This window comes from Homo sapiens, chromosome 15, assembly GCF_000001405.40.
Source record: "Homo sapiens chromosome 15, GRCh38.p14 Primary Assembly".
NCBI lineage: Eukaryota > Metazoa > Chordata > Mammalia > Primates > Hominidae > Homo > Homo sapiens.
This window is the reverse complement of record NC_000015.10, coordinates 76,228,231-76,244,008: the sequence shown is the minus strand read 5'-3', so window position 1 is coordinate 76,244,008 and position 15,778 is coordinate 76,228,231. Positions and strand designations below refer to the sequence as shown.

At 39.6% G+C, this 15,778-nt stretch overlaps 1 protein-coding gene across 3 annotated transcripts in view, besides 1 other annotated feature; it reads left to right on the top strand.

Annotated features, from left to right (window-relative positions):
- Positions 1–15,778, top strand: part of ETFA (electron transfer flavoprotein subunit alpha) — a 96,117-nt gene that overhangs the window by 67,461 nt on the left and 12,878 nt on the right. For all 3 annotated transcript variants that reach the window (XR_007064434.1, NM_001127716.2, NM_000126.4), the window contains one exon: positions 12,611–12,676. Coding sequence is in view for 2 of the 3 variants with exons in the window: in NM_001127716.2 (NP_001121188.1) it covers positions 12,611–12,676 (66 nt within the window). In the remaining variant the exon portion in view is untranslated. The remainder of the gene's footprint in view (positions 1–12,610; positions 12,677–15,778) is intronic.
- Positions 9,006–9,695: an enhancer, noted in NCBI's record as "NANOG hESC enhancer chr15:76526655-76527344 (GRCh37/hg19 assembly coordinates)". NCBI's record gives its function as "activates a minimal SCP1, AML or CMV promoter by ChIP-STARR-seq in naive H9 embryonic stem cells {active_cell/tissue: H9 hESC(naive)}" and the evidence as "EXISTENCE:reporter gene assay evidence [ECO:0000049][PMID:30033119]".

The following is a 15,778-nucleotide window of genomic DNA, read 5'->3' as shown; positions in this document are numbered from 1 at the left end:
AGGCTGAGGCACGAGAATTGCTTGAACCTGGGAGGCAGAGGTTGCGGTGAGCTGAGATCGCACCATCGCACTCCAGCCTGGGCAACAAGAGTGAAACTCTGTCTCAAAAAAACTAATAATAATAACAATAATAATAATAATTTTGAGAACGGTTTTGGATTTTAAGAAAAAAACTTTGTTTTTTTTTTGTTTGTTTGTTTTTGTTTTTTTGAGACAGAGTCTTGCTCTGTCGCTCAGGCCAGAGTGCAGCAGCATGATCTGGGCTCACTGCAACCTCTGCCTCCCAGGTTCAAGTGATTCCCCTGCCTTAGCCTACCTAGTAGCTGGGATTGCAGGTGTGTACCACCACGCCCGGCTAATTGTTGTATTTTTAGCAGAGGCGGGGTTTCGCCACGTTGGCCAGGCTGGTCTCAAACTCCTGACCTCGTTGTGATCCACCCGCCTCGGCCTCCCAAAGTGCTAGGATTACTGGCGTGAGCTACTGCGCCTGGCCTGAATTTAAAGTAAAATTTTGAAGACAGTACAGTGAATTTCTATAAATCCTATACCTGGTTTTCCTTATTATTTTTAATGTAAATAATTTTTAATAATTACCACAAGATTCTAGAATGAAGTTTTTTAAACATGGGAAATTCTGTGATGGTTTCTGTCAAGGTTTCTAGTGATTTTTTTTATTGTGGTAAAATATAAAATTTGCCGTTTTAACGATTTTTTTTCTTTTTCTTTTCTTTTTTTTTTGAGATGGAGTCTCACTCTACTGCCCAGGCCGGAGTGCAGTGGTGCCATCTCGGGTTCAAGCAATTCTCCTGCCTCAGCCTCCCAAGTAGCTGAGACTACAGGCATGTGCCACCAAGCCTAACTAATTTTTGAATTTTCATAGAAACAGTGTTTCACCATGTTGACAGTCTGGTCTTGAACTCCTGGCCTGAAGTGATCCACCCACCTTGTCCTCCCAAAGTGCTGGGATTATAAGTGTGAAGCACCACACCCAGTTGTTTTAACGATTTTTAAGTGTACAATTTAATGACTTCAACCACATTCACAACGTGCAGCCATCACTACTCTATTTCTGAAAGTTTTCATCACCCCAAATAGAAATCCTGTACCCATTAAGCAATAACTTATTACGTTCTACCTTGGCCCCTTGTAATTGCTAATCTATTTCTGTCTCTATGAATTTGCCTATTCTAGATATTTCATAAAGTTGAATCAAACAATATTTGTCCTTTTATGATGGCTTTTTTCATTTAGCACATTTTCACATTTCATCATATTGTATCATGTATCAGAACTTAATTCCTTTTTATGGTCCAGTCATCTGTAAACATTTTGCTTATCCATTCATCTGTCAATGGGTACTTAGGTTGTTTTATTTCACCTTTTAGCTATAGTGAATAATGCTGCTATGAACATTCACATGCAAGTATCTGTTTGAGTCCCTCTTGTCAGTTCTTTTGAATATATACTTAGGATTGGAATTGCTGAGACATATGGTAGTTCTATGTGTAACTTTTTGAGGAACCTTCAAATTGGTTTCCTCTGGTTGCTTTGTAGCTCTCATAAACTTCTTGACATAGAAGTTATGATTAAATGTCAAGAAAAGCTATGTGTAAGCAATGGCCAGCTCTTAGTGATTTGGGAAAGGAGGCAGTTTGGTGAATGGAAAGAATACTACTTGGAAGTCAGGAGACCTAGGTTTGGGTGGCAGCTCTGTTTCCCAGGGCCTTGATTTTTATCATTGATGAAATAAAGAGATCGCATAGATAATTTCAAAGGTTCCTTACAACTCCAAAATTCTACGTAGAAATGTATAATTTAGCATGTTTTGACTTGGATCAATTAAAGAACTTTGCTGATAAAAAATTTTGATAGTTGGCCAGGCGAAGTGGCTCACGCCTGTAATCCCAGCACTTTGGGAGGCCAAGGCGGGGGGATCCCGAGGTCAAGAGATCGAGACCATCCTCACCAACATGGTGAAACCTTGTCTCTACTAAAAATACAAAAATTAGCCGGGCGTGGTGGCGCACACCTGTAGTCCCAGCTACTCAGCAGGCTGAAGCATGAGACTCACTTGAACCCAGGAGGCGGAGGTTGCAGTGAGCCGAGATCGTGCCATTGCACTCCAGCCTGGCGACAGAGCGAGACTCCATCTCAAAAAAAAAAAATTTGATAGTCAAATAAACTTTTTTTTTTTTTTTTTTTTTTTTGAGATGGAGTCTCACTCTGTCGCCCAGGCTGGAGTGCAGTGGTGTGATCTTGGCTCACTGCCAGCTCTGCCTCCCGGGTTCATGCCATTCTCCTGCCTCAGCCTCCCGAGTAGCTGGGACTTACAGGGGCCCGCCCCCCATGCCTGGCTAATTTTTGTATTTTTTAGTAGAGACAGAGTTTCACCGTGTTGGCCAGGATGGTCTGGATCTCCTGACCTCGTGATCCGCCTGCCTCAGCCTCCCAAAGTGCTTGGATTACAAGTGTGAGCCACTGCGCCCAGCCAAATAAACTTTTTTTGAGACAGGGTCTCACTCTATTAGCTAAGCTGGAGTGGAGTGGTGCCATCACATCTCACTGCAGCTTCAACCTCCTGGGCTCAAGTGATCCTCCTGCTTCAGCCTCCCAAGTAGCTGGGATCACAGATGTGTCCCACCACACCCAGCTAATTTGTTTTTTATTTTTTGTAGAGATGGGGTCTTGCTGTGTTGCCTAGGCTGGTCTCAAACTCCTGGCCTCAAGCGATCCTCCCACCTCGACCTCCCAAAGTGCTAGGATTACAGGCATGAGCCACTGCACCCAGCCTTCAAATAAAGTTTTTATTTGACCTGCTAAAATGCAAAGCTTTGTAATAGACTTGATTACATGTTCAAGTATTTTGATATCATAGACACAAATATTTCAATGTAAATTAACTGTCTGAATAGTTTTAGGTAAGTATATAATAATATACTTGGCTTTTCATAATTTCAGGTACACTTAAAGTGTATTTTCCCACAATGGAAAATCTCTGAACTGGTATAGAAGCAAATTAGGTAAATGCAAAGCATTTAATTATAAAATTGTTAAATATAAAAATTATATTTAATTTATTATTATTAATATTTTTAGAGGTGGGGTCTTATTCTGTTGCTCAGGCTGGAGTATGGCAACATGAGACCATAGTTCACTGCAGCCTCAAATTTCTGGACTCAAGAAATCCTCCTGCCTCAGCTTCCCAAGTAGTTGGGATTATAGACGTGAGCCACTGAGCACAGCTGAAGTTATATTTGAATGTGAAACTATTCTCTTAAGAAAAAAAAAACTTGTTTCAGGTCCTATACATCTTGCATAATTGAAATCTACAATTAGAAAACATTGAAAGGCCAAGGGTTGAAATTTCACTTTTTTTCTGATTTACATTTAAATTTTTGAATTGTGTTTCACAATATAGTTAATGTCCTTGTTTTAAAAAAATTCTTTTAACTTTGTAGTTGAGCAACTGGGTTATTAAATTTACATTTTGAACAAAAAATGTGACGTACATAATGAAGTGTGTGCTAGTGATATACATCCCACCTGCTCTGGACATATTAGACTAGATGTGAAGAAGACATTTGCTTAGTTCCCTATATGTCCTGGGAGAAAAGGTAGGCTGATTAAAAGAATATGGAGGAGCTTATATCTAAGAATGAATTTGAATTTAAGATTTCAAAGAATCTTTGACTACATATTCTATCACTAAAAAGAACCAAGTCCATCTACTGAGCCATGGAATCTCCATTCATGTGAAAAATCTTCAGAGGCTAGATAAGGGCCCCTGCTTTTCTTCCAAATGCATTTTCTGGCTTTGCCTCTAGACATTTCCCTTTAGCAGTTATTTGGAACCAGATATTGACTTCACTGAAAGCCAGATCAAAATCTTTAGCTGGAAAGTATTAATTTTCAGTGCAGGTTACATAAATTAAAAGAAAGAAACATCATCAACAACAACAACAAAAATAATTTCGGAGCCTTGCCTCTTTTGTGAGTCAGTCTCCTTGAAGGGCTTCCAGCTGGTGCATGTGTGTGGTGGGTGTGCATTAGAGGCTTTCTAATTGACATGCAAGTGGTTGATAGAGCAATAAATCTAAACAGTGTAGCTTGTCATTATTCATGATAAGGAGACACAGAGCTAATGTACAAACTGATACTTTTAGCAACATGGAGTAAAAGCTAATGTTAGCTAAAATTGACAATACTTTTTTTTTTTTTTTTTAATATGTACAAACTTCAGTTGGCTCTTCACCAGGTCTCATCTTGTTTTAGGGATCTTTCTCTAAGATAAATATACTTTGTGGACTTTTAACAGACTGGTGACTTCAGCTAAAGCATATTACCAATACAGTAATAATATTGAGTCATATGTGGTATAGAAAAAGTGCTGAATTTAGAATCAACCTAGGTTAAGAAGCCTGCCTTTTGAGAGTAGAATGGTGGCTTCCAGGGGCTGGGAGGTGGGGGAAATGGGGAGATGTTGGTCAAAGGATACAAAATTTGTTATGCTGGATGAATAAATTCTGGGGATCTATTGTACAGAATGGTGACTATAGTTAATAAGAGTGGATTGTATACTTAAGATTTGCTAAGAGAGTAAATTTTAAGTGTTCTCACCACAAAAAGTAATTGTGATGTGATAGATATGTTAATTAGCCTGATTGTGGTAATTATTTCATAATGTTTACCTATATCAAAACATCACATTGTATACTTTAAATATATATAATTTTTATGTGTCAAATATACCTCAGTAAAGCTGGGGAGGGAGAACCTGCCTTTTACTAGGTGTGTATAATTTTGGACAACTCAGCAAGCCTGCCTGAGACTCTGCTTTCTCTTCTATAAAATAGGAATCATTTCTACCCTATAGAGTTGTTGTCATAGTTAAATGAGGTCGTGTGTATAAAGTACAGCATAGTTACTGGCGTAACATAGACAGTACATATAGCTGTGATGACTAGTGTGTTGTCTTGAATTCTAATAAAACAGGAGCTAATCTTAGTAAAGGGGTGTTGTCTCATGGATGGGATATAATTTCAGCTTCAAACCAAGAGTATGGGTAAAATCTTCCCTTCATGTGAAACTCAGTTTAGCCAGAATCCCACCTGAGAATTTCATAATACGGGCAGAGAGCTGTTTGAGAAAAGAGCCACAGATAGTTGTGCTTTGAGTTTTGGGGCCTCTTCCAAAAAGAGAAGAGACTTAAACAGGATTTGGCAAACAAAGGAAATAGTTTGGCCTTTTAAATGAGCAGCAGGATGAAATATAGCAATATTAATGCACAGGAGGCTCCAATAATTAGAAAATATAGTTTGGTTAATCTACTTCCCAAAGACACATTCATTATTTGCTATGATAAATTCATTTAACTCCTAACCTGGCATTTGTTATGTATATGTATATTATGTTTTATCTATAACAGTTGCTGTTTAAGGTTATGGCTGTGTAGTCTATTGAGAAAAGAAGGTTGAGAAAGCATTTGCCATTCTGTATAACTCTTGTCCTGATTGAGGCAGTCTTAGGGGTATTGTTTTTTTGAGCACATAACATTGGATCTCTGAATTCTAGATAGAACCACTTACATGATGTGTTTAAATTTTTATTTATTTAAAGAAATGTAAGTTTTCATGTTCCTTCCCTACCTCTATCTAGAAAGGAACACTTTTGGCAGAAAAGTTTAAAACTTGATTTTTTAAGAGAGGAAACAATATTGGCATGGTATTTCTGCTCTGAATGCTCCAGATTTAACCACCCTACTCATATTCGTATTTCATATAAACAAAAAGTAAACATTTAAATCTCTCCATTCTACTGTGTTTAAAGTAAAGCAGATCTGAAGTTGCTGCAGGCAGAATACTGTTCCAATTCCAGAAAAACATGAATTTATGATTTTATATCATAAACTCACATAATTTCAACTTCATATGTATTATATTTTTAATATGATCAACTTGATATGTCTTAGTACTTGCATCTGGGATATGTATCCTTGCACAAAGATTGTGTTAGAAATCTGTAAAGAAATCATCCCAACTTCCTAGGCAAGCACTGGCTAGGAAGCTGGGCAGAAATTCTAACTGTATGGTCAGTACTAAATGCAAAGAAGAAACTAACAGCTGTCAAAGAAAATTTTTCCCAGTACACTCCCCTGGAAGAATTGTATCAAGTTAGTAACAACTTTCTTGACTATAGATATATAGATAGTAATAGTTACCATTTTAAAGTGAAATTTTTGACAGTTGGCTGTCTCCTTTTCTGTTTAGAACTATAACATTAAAAATGCCTTCTAGTTTAGAGATTTGATGATCATTTTAGAAATAATAGCATTATAGAAATATTTTGAGTACTTTATGTGCATCTTATTTTCATCATCACAACAATCCTATTAGCTGCAGGTATTTGTCTCCATTTTACACATAACAGCAGTTGAGCCTTTGAGAGATTGAATAATTTGCTCAAGAATGCAGATTGGTAAGTGGGAGAGTCAGGATCTGAACCCAGCTCTTATTTATTTAACTGTAATGATTGAATAATGTAGTAGTTTCTTTTACCTCCTCATTTTCAACTTTCTTGAGTTGAGATCTGAGCTTACTAATTTTCCATCATCCTTGTTTTCTAATATGTGTTTGAGGTTATAAATCCTTCTAAGTATCGGCCAGGCATGGTGGCTCATGCCTGTAATCCCAGCACTTTGGGAGGCCGAGGTGGGTGGATCACCTGAGGTCAGGAATTCGAGACCAGCCTGGCCAACATGGCAAAACCCCATCTCTACTAAGAGTACAAAAATTAGCCGGGCGAGGTGGCACGTTCCTGTAATCCCAGCTACTCAGGAGGCTGAGGCACGAAAATCGCTTGAACCCAGGAGGCAGAGGTTGCAGCGAGCCAAGATCGTGCCACTGCACTCCAGCCTGGGCAGCAGAGTGAGACTCTGTCTCAAAATCAATCAGTCTTTCTAAATACCACTCTAGCTGCATCCCACATGTTCTGATATACCCTTCCTTTTTTGGTGTTTTGTTCCATGTATTTTTAAATTTCCATTTTAATTTTTTTGACTCACATATTTCAGATACTTTTAAAATCTTTTTTAGAACTGTGAGTTTTTGAGGAAATATTTTTCAGGTCCATCTAGAGTTTTAAGAACTAAATATAAGTTACTGGAGAACAAAATTTGATAGAGAGTTGCTTTTTCAGAGTATAAACTGATCATGTTAAACCAGTAGTTTTCATCTGCTTTTGGTTTTCCTATAATGGGCCACACCACCTGAAATTTGATAGATTTTTGTCATCTATTTGTGACTCTCTATATTGGCTACTCTTGTTTAATGTTGCTGCCTCTAATGCTAATCTTCAGCTCTGCCACACTGCTGACTTTCCTTTTTGGTTCACGTTCCCATTGAGCATAATAGAACCTGTAAATGGTCTTGTTCTGAGCCAACAGAAGCAACACAGACACATAAGACAATGCCATTCTGTCTTTAGATCTGTTGTCAGACCATAGTCCACGGTTCCCTAGTGGAGTTTACAAGAAGGCTCTTTAGTTTGTTCTATGATTATTTTGGATTTGTGCTGCCCAGTATGATAACCTCTAAGCCACATGTGATTATTGGGTACTTGAAATATAGTTAGTCTGACCTGAGATTACATTATTAAAAATTAATTTTACCTGTTTATTTTTACTTTAATGTGGCCACTAGAAAATTTAACATTAAATATGTGGCTTACAAGATATATAAGTATAGATGTATCGAATAACTCTGTTTGGGGCTTAACAGTGATGAGCGAAAATGCAATGTAGCAGAGGACAGTTTTCCCCTTAGCTTCTACATGAAATTCTGGAAAAGCAGAGCTCAGATAATACATCTTAGAATTCCAGGTTTGGGCACGTGTTTTGGGTAAAGCAGGAGTGATGTTAGTATATACTTACTTTCTGAAGAAAGCAGCCAAAAACCTAATCATCCACCAGAGAACACTAGCCATGTTGAATCCACAGGTTGGTTAGATTTCTGTAAAAGTCTGAAGATTTCATTCCAATCATCCCTCTAATTCTCAGACATGCAGTTTTATCATTAAGCCAGGACCATTAAAACCTGCTTTAAAAGCTTGTTTTGTCTAAAGGACTTAAGGGAGCAGGAACAGATGGGGATAGATGGCAAAAGTGGGCCCCTGTTTGTCAGAAGGTAAAGATATTGTCCCCTAATCTGTTTTCTGCTCCTAACGGCTTTTCCACTTCTCAGTGGCAGGTAGGAAAGTGAGGGGCTGATGAGAGACTGTAGCTCTATCACACCTCTTTTCCATTTTCCTTTATTGGATTACAGATTTTTGTGACCTTGCCGTAACCTGTAATTGTTAGACTGTGAGCTTCTTGAGGACAGGGCACAGAGAATTAGTCATCTTTATATTACCTGTAAGGTACAGTAAGAATATCAACAACAGTAAAATCAGTTACCCAGTGCTGCTCAACTCTTTCCTATTATGGTACACTTAGACAGTTAGAATATTTGTACCACAGGGGATTCTGGCCACCCAGTACTTCAAGTCCACACAACTCTTTTGTACAAATTATAAAGTACTGGTGTCTCAAGTTACTTTACTGCCATCTGTTGGAAAGTTATTGTAATAAAAATGCAGGGCTATAGTGACTGTTAAGAGTGGTGCCCTCCTTCAGAGTTATTCAGTGTGCAGCCTGCTCAGCTGTACATGGTAGTCCTGAGGCTACCTCAGGAGCCCACCTGGCCACCTAGTGGGCTGAGAAAATCAATATTTGAATAAACCTCAACCCGTGAGTGACACATCAATGTGTCTTGGGAAATCTGATACTATGCTAAGGACGAGCCTCAACAGTAACCCTATAAAGCAGGAGTTCTTATAATTCCAGTGTTTTGGATGAGCAGTCTGAGGCATAGAGAGGTTACATGAATGGCCCATGGTCATGCAGCTATCAGATGGCAGAGGTGGGATTTGAATGGAGGCAATGAGGCTACAGAGCCTAGGTTCTTAACCACAGTGATACGGTAAACCTGTTAAACCGCATCAGATGCAACAGTTTCTCAGTCCTGCTGCCCTTTCTATCTCAGCCCACTGTAACTAGTTTAGACCTCAGCCCCTGAGTTCTTTGAATGAGTCTATAGGTTTTGGCAAAGGAAGAGGTATTTGTGCTTTTTTCTGCCAGTACTTGTTTGTGTTAAGGTTAAGTGCTATCCCTTCTCTATATTTCAGAATAAGCTCTGGTCCTCTTCCCATCCTGTGGCTTTACTTCTCCGCACAGCCCCTATTCTTGGCATCACAGAGTGATCAACTCAGACTGCTATCAGCCACCTGGGGTTGATCCATTCTCTTCTAAATTCTCACTCTTCTAGATTCTAAAGCCACGAGGCCTATCTCTAGGACTCTCCCTCCTTCTTTCTGTTTCTGTTGGTTCCTTTAATCCCCACCGTCCCCCACCACGCCTTGTATAACCCTTAATTGCTGTACTCCCTGGCAACATCTCTCACTTTCTCTCCAAATGGTCTTACTATCTGATTTAGAAGGAAAGTGCCTCAGGGAAGGGATTGTCTTGTTATGTTGTGAAGCAGCATCTGAAGTGCCCCATAAATTAGCATCTGTAGAGAGTTTTGTGTATACTAATTATTATTATTATTGAAATACAAAAATGCTTTCTGAACCATGAGGAATTAGACTAAGATATTAGTCTAATTGCCTGTACATGTTTTTTAAAAAGGAGGGAAAAAGCCTCTCTTCCTGAGAGAGCTATCAGAGCCTCAGAGCAGCCGCCAAAATCCCTATACTTGTTCTGGGTTATTGTTTCAGTGCTTTTATGTTTATTCAGAGGACCATGTTTGCAAGACAGTAAAATAAAGTCCTGTTGGTCATGTGGATCCATTTGGACCATTTATTGTGATCAGAAAGGTAGAAATGGCCCTGGAGCAACTGCCTTCAGTTTGTTTTGGCCCAGAATCTCTTATTTCCTTAGTGACACTTATGGTTAAAGTCAATGGAATTCATTTTTGGGGACACAGGGGGTTTTAAGTAATTTCATTTATATTATGTTTATGTTTACTGCCAGAGTGAATCAACATTTTTATTAGCATTTTATAATGCACATGGAGCTTTTAAGACTTGAATTTGCTGTAGACATGTATGACAGAAAGACTCGTTTACAGGACTACTGGTCTTTTCCAATGCTTGCTTTGAGAATATACCTAAAAGAGTGGTGTCTAGCTAAATAGCTTGCTTTAAAAATCTTTATGTTAGAATTTGTTTGCCGGGTTTTTCTGAATATGAATGTTAGTATATTTTGATTAACAGTTTAACAAATGTCCCTTTATGAATGAAATGCTAGTCAGAATAAACTGAGGTGACCTTAAAATTACCTATTGAAGGCTGGGCGCCGTGGCTCATGCCAGTAATCCCAGCACTTTGGGAGGCCGAGGTGGGTGGATCACAAGGTCAGGAGTTCGAGACCAGCCTGGCCAACATAGTGAAACCCCATCTCTACTAAAAATACAAAAATTAGCTGGGTGGGGTGGCATACACCTGTAGTCCCAGCTGCTCGGGAGGCCGAGGCGGGAGAATCGCTTGAACCTGGGAGGTGGAGGTTGCAGTGAGCCAAGACTGTGCCATTGCACTCCAGCCTGGGTGACAGAGTGAGACTCCATCTCAAAAAAAAAAAAAAAAAAAAAAGCCTATTGAATTACTTCTAAATCTTAAATAGAAAGTAGTGGAAGAAGTTTACTACTTATGCAAGTGTCCATGTCTGAGAGACAGTATGATGTCAGGGCCTCCTTGCATTGTCCGACTATGTAGGGTCACAATTGACACACTGGATACATTGAAGGTAGAATCACAGAGCATGCAATTGCTTTTTATCCTCATCCATACTTTCTGCAGCATTCCTCCCCACCCTAAGACACAGTCTTATTACGCCAAATTGTTCTTGTCTTCAGGCTTTTGGTAACTATAGAACAAGTTGATTCAAAAAACAAGCTCATCTCATTTTTAGATGATTAACTCACTTTGGGGACTAGATTGTTTCCTTTTCCAGGTTACATGGTGCTGCTCTAGGAGCAGTTGGACACTTTATGCTTGTAAAGATCAGGGAGTACTGCAGGGGGCTAGACAGTTGTCAGATTCAGGCTGCCAAAGAGCTGAGGGATCACTTATTGTAGTGGTTCTCCAGCTCTGGCTATACATCAGAGTATCCTGGGGAGCTTTCTTTACAAGCACCAGTGCTGGAGGTGTACCTCTTCTGTTTACAATTGGAAAAAGTGAGCCCCTGAGAGGTGAATTGACTTGTATGTGGCCATATACAATTAGGTGCTATGAAAAATCATGACATTAGGAGGTAATAACATTATTTTCAGATCCTAGTTGAAATGCTCTCTTATTTTGGATTGAGCAATTGTTAAATGAGATCATAAGCAGTGCAGAAAACAAGGTGGGACCACCTTGACACTGTCATTGGCTTTTGAAGTATCTGCCCTGTAATAAAAGTAAGTATAACAGAACCACCTTCAGTGCCTTCCACATATTATTCATATTGAGGAGAGACTTTACTGTCAGTTGTGACAAAACCTTAGTGTCAGTCTGGTTACATGGTAGTTATACCTCCTACCCAGGCCAGGACTTGTTTGTTCAGTTTTTCTGTGGGAAAAGGTTTTCAAGTGAAGCTTTAATCATACCTGGTAAACAGAATGAAGCAGGTAAGCTCTTCTAATTAAGCACTTATTAAAGTGCTTAAAGTTTTTCATAATGGAAGTGTGTTTTTATTTTCAAACAAAGGCACTGTAAAAATTTTAGATAAGGAGACAGAACAGTGTCAGTCATCATTCCCTTTGTAATTATTGAGGGCAGAGGGGCAGGAAGAGGTACAAATATCATCAACATTTACCAAAAAACTGTGGTATGGAGGCCTTTTTGTTAGGCTCTGGAAACACAAAGGTTCAGCCCATACCTTTGAGAAGTTTGTTATTTTTTATTCAGAGAGAATGTGTGTGTGTGTGTGTGTATGTGTACGTGTGTGTGTTTAAAATCTCTTGATAGTAATTTGTATTTCTGGTTTTTCTAAATACAAAGTTTAATAAACATATCCTAATTACCATTTTAACAAATATCCTTTTGTGATAAGGCGAACAACTAAGCCAAACAACTAAGTCAAAAATTATTTTAATATATTTGAGTATATGTGTTTATATGTTAATATACAATGTGTGTATGTTGTTAATTTTTAATGGGTATGTACAGCATGTATGGGTTGTGCAGTGATTTTCAAGTGAGTGCCACAGATGAAAAATGCTACCTCACAGGTAATTGTGAGATTGAGACACTTGATGTAAAATGCTTAACACTGTGTCTGGCACATAGTAAATGTTCAGTAATCCTCATTATCCACATATTTATTTTACTACCATTGCTATAGGAATTCATAGGAAAAAGAGAACTGTAGGTTAAGGAGATCAGAGAAAAAGAAAAGCATAATTTAAGCAATACATTTTGCCTCTATTTTATTTAACATATCTTTTGCCTAAGACTTAAATTGCTAACAGCAAACACTTTGGAAAGTATTATATAATATAAATACATATTAATAATGTGACCTCTTTTATTTCAGGAACTTTATATTGCTGTTGGAATATCTGGAGCCATCCAACATTTAGCTGGGATGAAAGACAGCAAGGTAATTGTACATCAGTGATGTTAAAAGAAAACGTTTCCACATTTTAGGATTTGGCTTACCTTGTATGTTTCCATGTAGTTACAATGCATGTAGTCAAGCCATTCACACTAACGTAGATCTGGGAACTGAAAGAAATAAAAGCTACCGTTCACTGCCTTAAAAATTATTGGTCACAGAGGCAGTGCTGTGTCATGGAAAGAGGCCTGAACCTGAGTTATAGCTCCACTGCTAACTTAATGCATGATGAGTGCTGTCTGCAAACTCAGTTTCTTTGTCTACTAAATAGTGGGTATTGAATGATGATCACTAAGTTGCCCTTCAGCTATCACAATCTGTGGATAGAAAATATCAGACTTAAACAATTTGATGAGGTTCTGAACGTGTAACTTATTTTTGAGGTTTTGATCCCTGATTCTCTCTCTGTCTGCTTCACTTTGGTCCTGTAACCCTCACAATCTCATATATCAGCAGGGCCCCACTTCTTGGGTTGTTATCAAAGTATAACCAACACATTTTGGGTTGGAGCATCAGGCCATCTTAATATCTCAGTATCTCAGTAATTATCAAAAGTGCAATAAGTATGGGGCCGGGCGCGGTGGCTCACGCCTGTAATCCCAGCACTTTGGGAGGCCGAGGCCAGCGGATCATGAGGTCAGGAGATCGAGACCATTCTGGCTAACACGGTGAAACCCCGTCTCTACTAAAAATACAAAAAAAATTAGCCAGGCATGATGGCGAGCGCCTGTAGTCCCAGCTACTCGAGAGGCTGAGGCAGGAGAATGGCGTGAACCGGGAGGCGGAGCTTGCAGTGAGCCGAGGTGGCTCACGCCTGTAATCCCAGCACTTTGGGAGGCCGAGGCGGGCGGATCACGAGGTCAGGAGATCGAGACCATCCTGGCTAACACGGTGAAACCCCGTCTCTACTAAAAATACAAAAAATTAGCCGGGCGTGGTAGCGGGCGCCTGTAGTCCCAGCTACTCGGGAGGCTGAGGCAGGAGAATGGCGTGAACCCGGGAGGCGGAGCTTGCAGTGAGCCGAGATCGCGCCACTGCACTCCAGCCTGGGCGACAGAGCGAGACTCCGTCTCAAAAAAAAAAAAAAAAAAAAAAAAAAGTGCAATAAGTAGAGGAAGGAAACACTTGATTTTTATTTATTTATTTATTTTTTTGAGACAAGAGTCTCGCTCTGTCACCCAGGCTGAAGTCGCCCAGGCTGGAGTGCAGTGGCCTGATCTCGGCTCACTGCTAGCTCCGCCTCCCGCGTTCACGCCATTCTCCTGCCTCAGCCTCCCAAAGTGCTGGGATTACTGGCATAAGCCACCGCGCCCGGCCAGGAAACACTTGATTTTAACTTGCTACTTGGACTACTCTGAAAGTCCTGTGTAATGATTCTGAACATATATTTCAGAATATGACACATTAATTCATGCATAATAATATATAGTTTGAATTATGAACTTACCTTTCATGAAGTCAGAGATGCCTCTGACATTCCTGCATTTATCCATTCAGATGGAAGCTTGATATAAAAGATTATAAAACTTTTAACAGGCTTAACTTCTTCTAATTTGAAATGCATGCACTACCTCTTTGTAGCTTCTAAATGAACTGGCCCAAAACCAGTCAGATTTTACAGTTGGATGGTAGGTTTCTTTACTGAACTATGAAAACAGCAGTGCCAATGGGGAAAATGTGATTGCTGCATTAAGAAAAAATAAATAAATAAAAGAAAGAAACTCCAACACCAGCAGCCTTAAAGTATATTTTTAGCCAGACCAGTTCAGACATAGCTAGAATTCTGCTTCTCTAAAAATAAAAGATTCTGCCTGTCAAGAAGATACCAGTGAAAATTCTCACCCCATGCCAACAGGGCTGGATTGTGGGAGAGACACTAGGTAGTGTACGTCAGAGCAAATAGGGAACAGTTGAAGTAAGGAGACTGGTGTTGGGGGTCAGCCAAGACTTTGTATCTCCATCTAGTCAACAGATGTTTATTAAGACCATTCCTTGTACTAGAAGCTGGGAATGCTTAAAAAGATATAGCCCTTGTTGTCACTGTCTTATCCTGTTGTCTGTGTCGTCCTGTGTTGTCATAGCCCCATTATCTGCATAGGAGACAGTCTTTAGTTCTAAAATGGGATATTAGAATGGTTTAAATCTGACAGTTGCATTCCCTGCAAGCTGCAATTTTAATTAGAATCCTGGTTTAGTTGAAGGAATTCAAGATTTGATTGTTAAATCAAATGAATCTAATGAAAGCACTTTCTGAACTAATACACAGTAATATGGTTGAGGCCACGTGCAATCCCAGCACTTTGGGAGGCCGAGGCGGGCAGATCACCTGAGGTCAGGAGATCGAGACCATCCTGGCTAACACGATGAAACCCCATCTCTACTAAAAATACAAAAAATTAGCTGGGCATGGTGGCGGGCGCCTGTGGTCCCAGCTACTTGGGAGGCTGAGGCAGAAGAATGGCGTGAATCCAGGAGGCGGAGGCTGCAGTGAGCCGAGATCGCGCCACTGCAGTCCAGCCAGGGTGACAGAACGAGACTCCATCTAAAAAAAAAAAAAAAAAAAAAAGTAATAATAATAATATGGTTGAATACAATCTATGCATTTCAAAGCTTAGTAAGGAGGAAGAACTTGAGCTTGTGAGGAGCTATTGAGAGAGCTTTGGATACAAGCAAGACTTTATCATAGTTCTTTACAATTGATTATTTAGGAATATTATTTTAATAATCTGAAGAACAATAACCAGCCCCACATCTTTTTTGTTAAATACTGTAGTGGTTCCTTGCCCACAGTTATATGCTCTCTCTTTAAAAATAACTTTTAAGGCAGGCATAGTGGCACTGTAATCCCAAGGCACTGTAATCCCAGCGCTTTGGGAGGCCAAGGCAGGAGGATCACTTGAGTCCAGGAGTTGGAGAGTGGCCTGGGCAACACAGTGAGAACCCCATCTCTCCAAAAAATGAAAGAATTATCTGAGCATGGTGGTACACCCCTGTGGTCCCAGCTACTCAGGAGGCTGAGGTGGGAGGATCACTTGAGCCCAGGAGATCAAGGCTTCTGTGAGCTGATTGTACCACTGCACTCCAGCC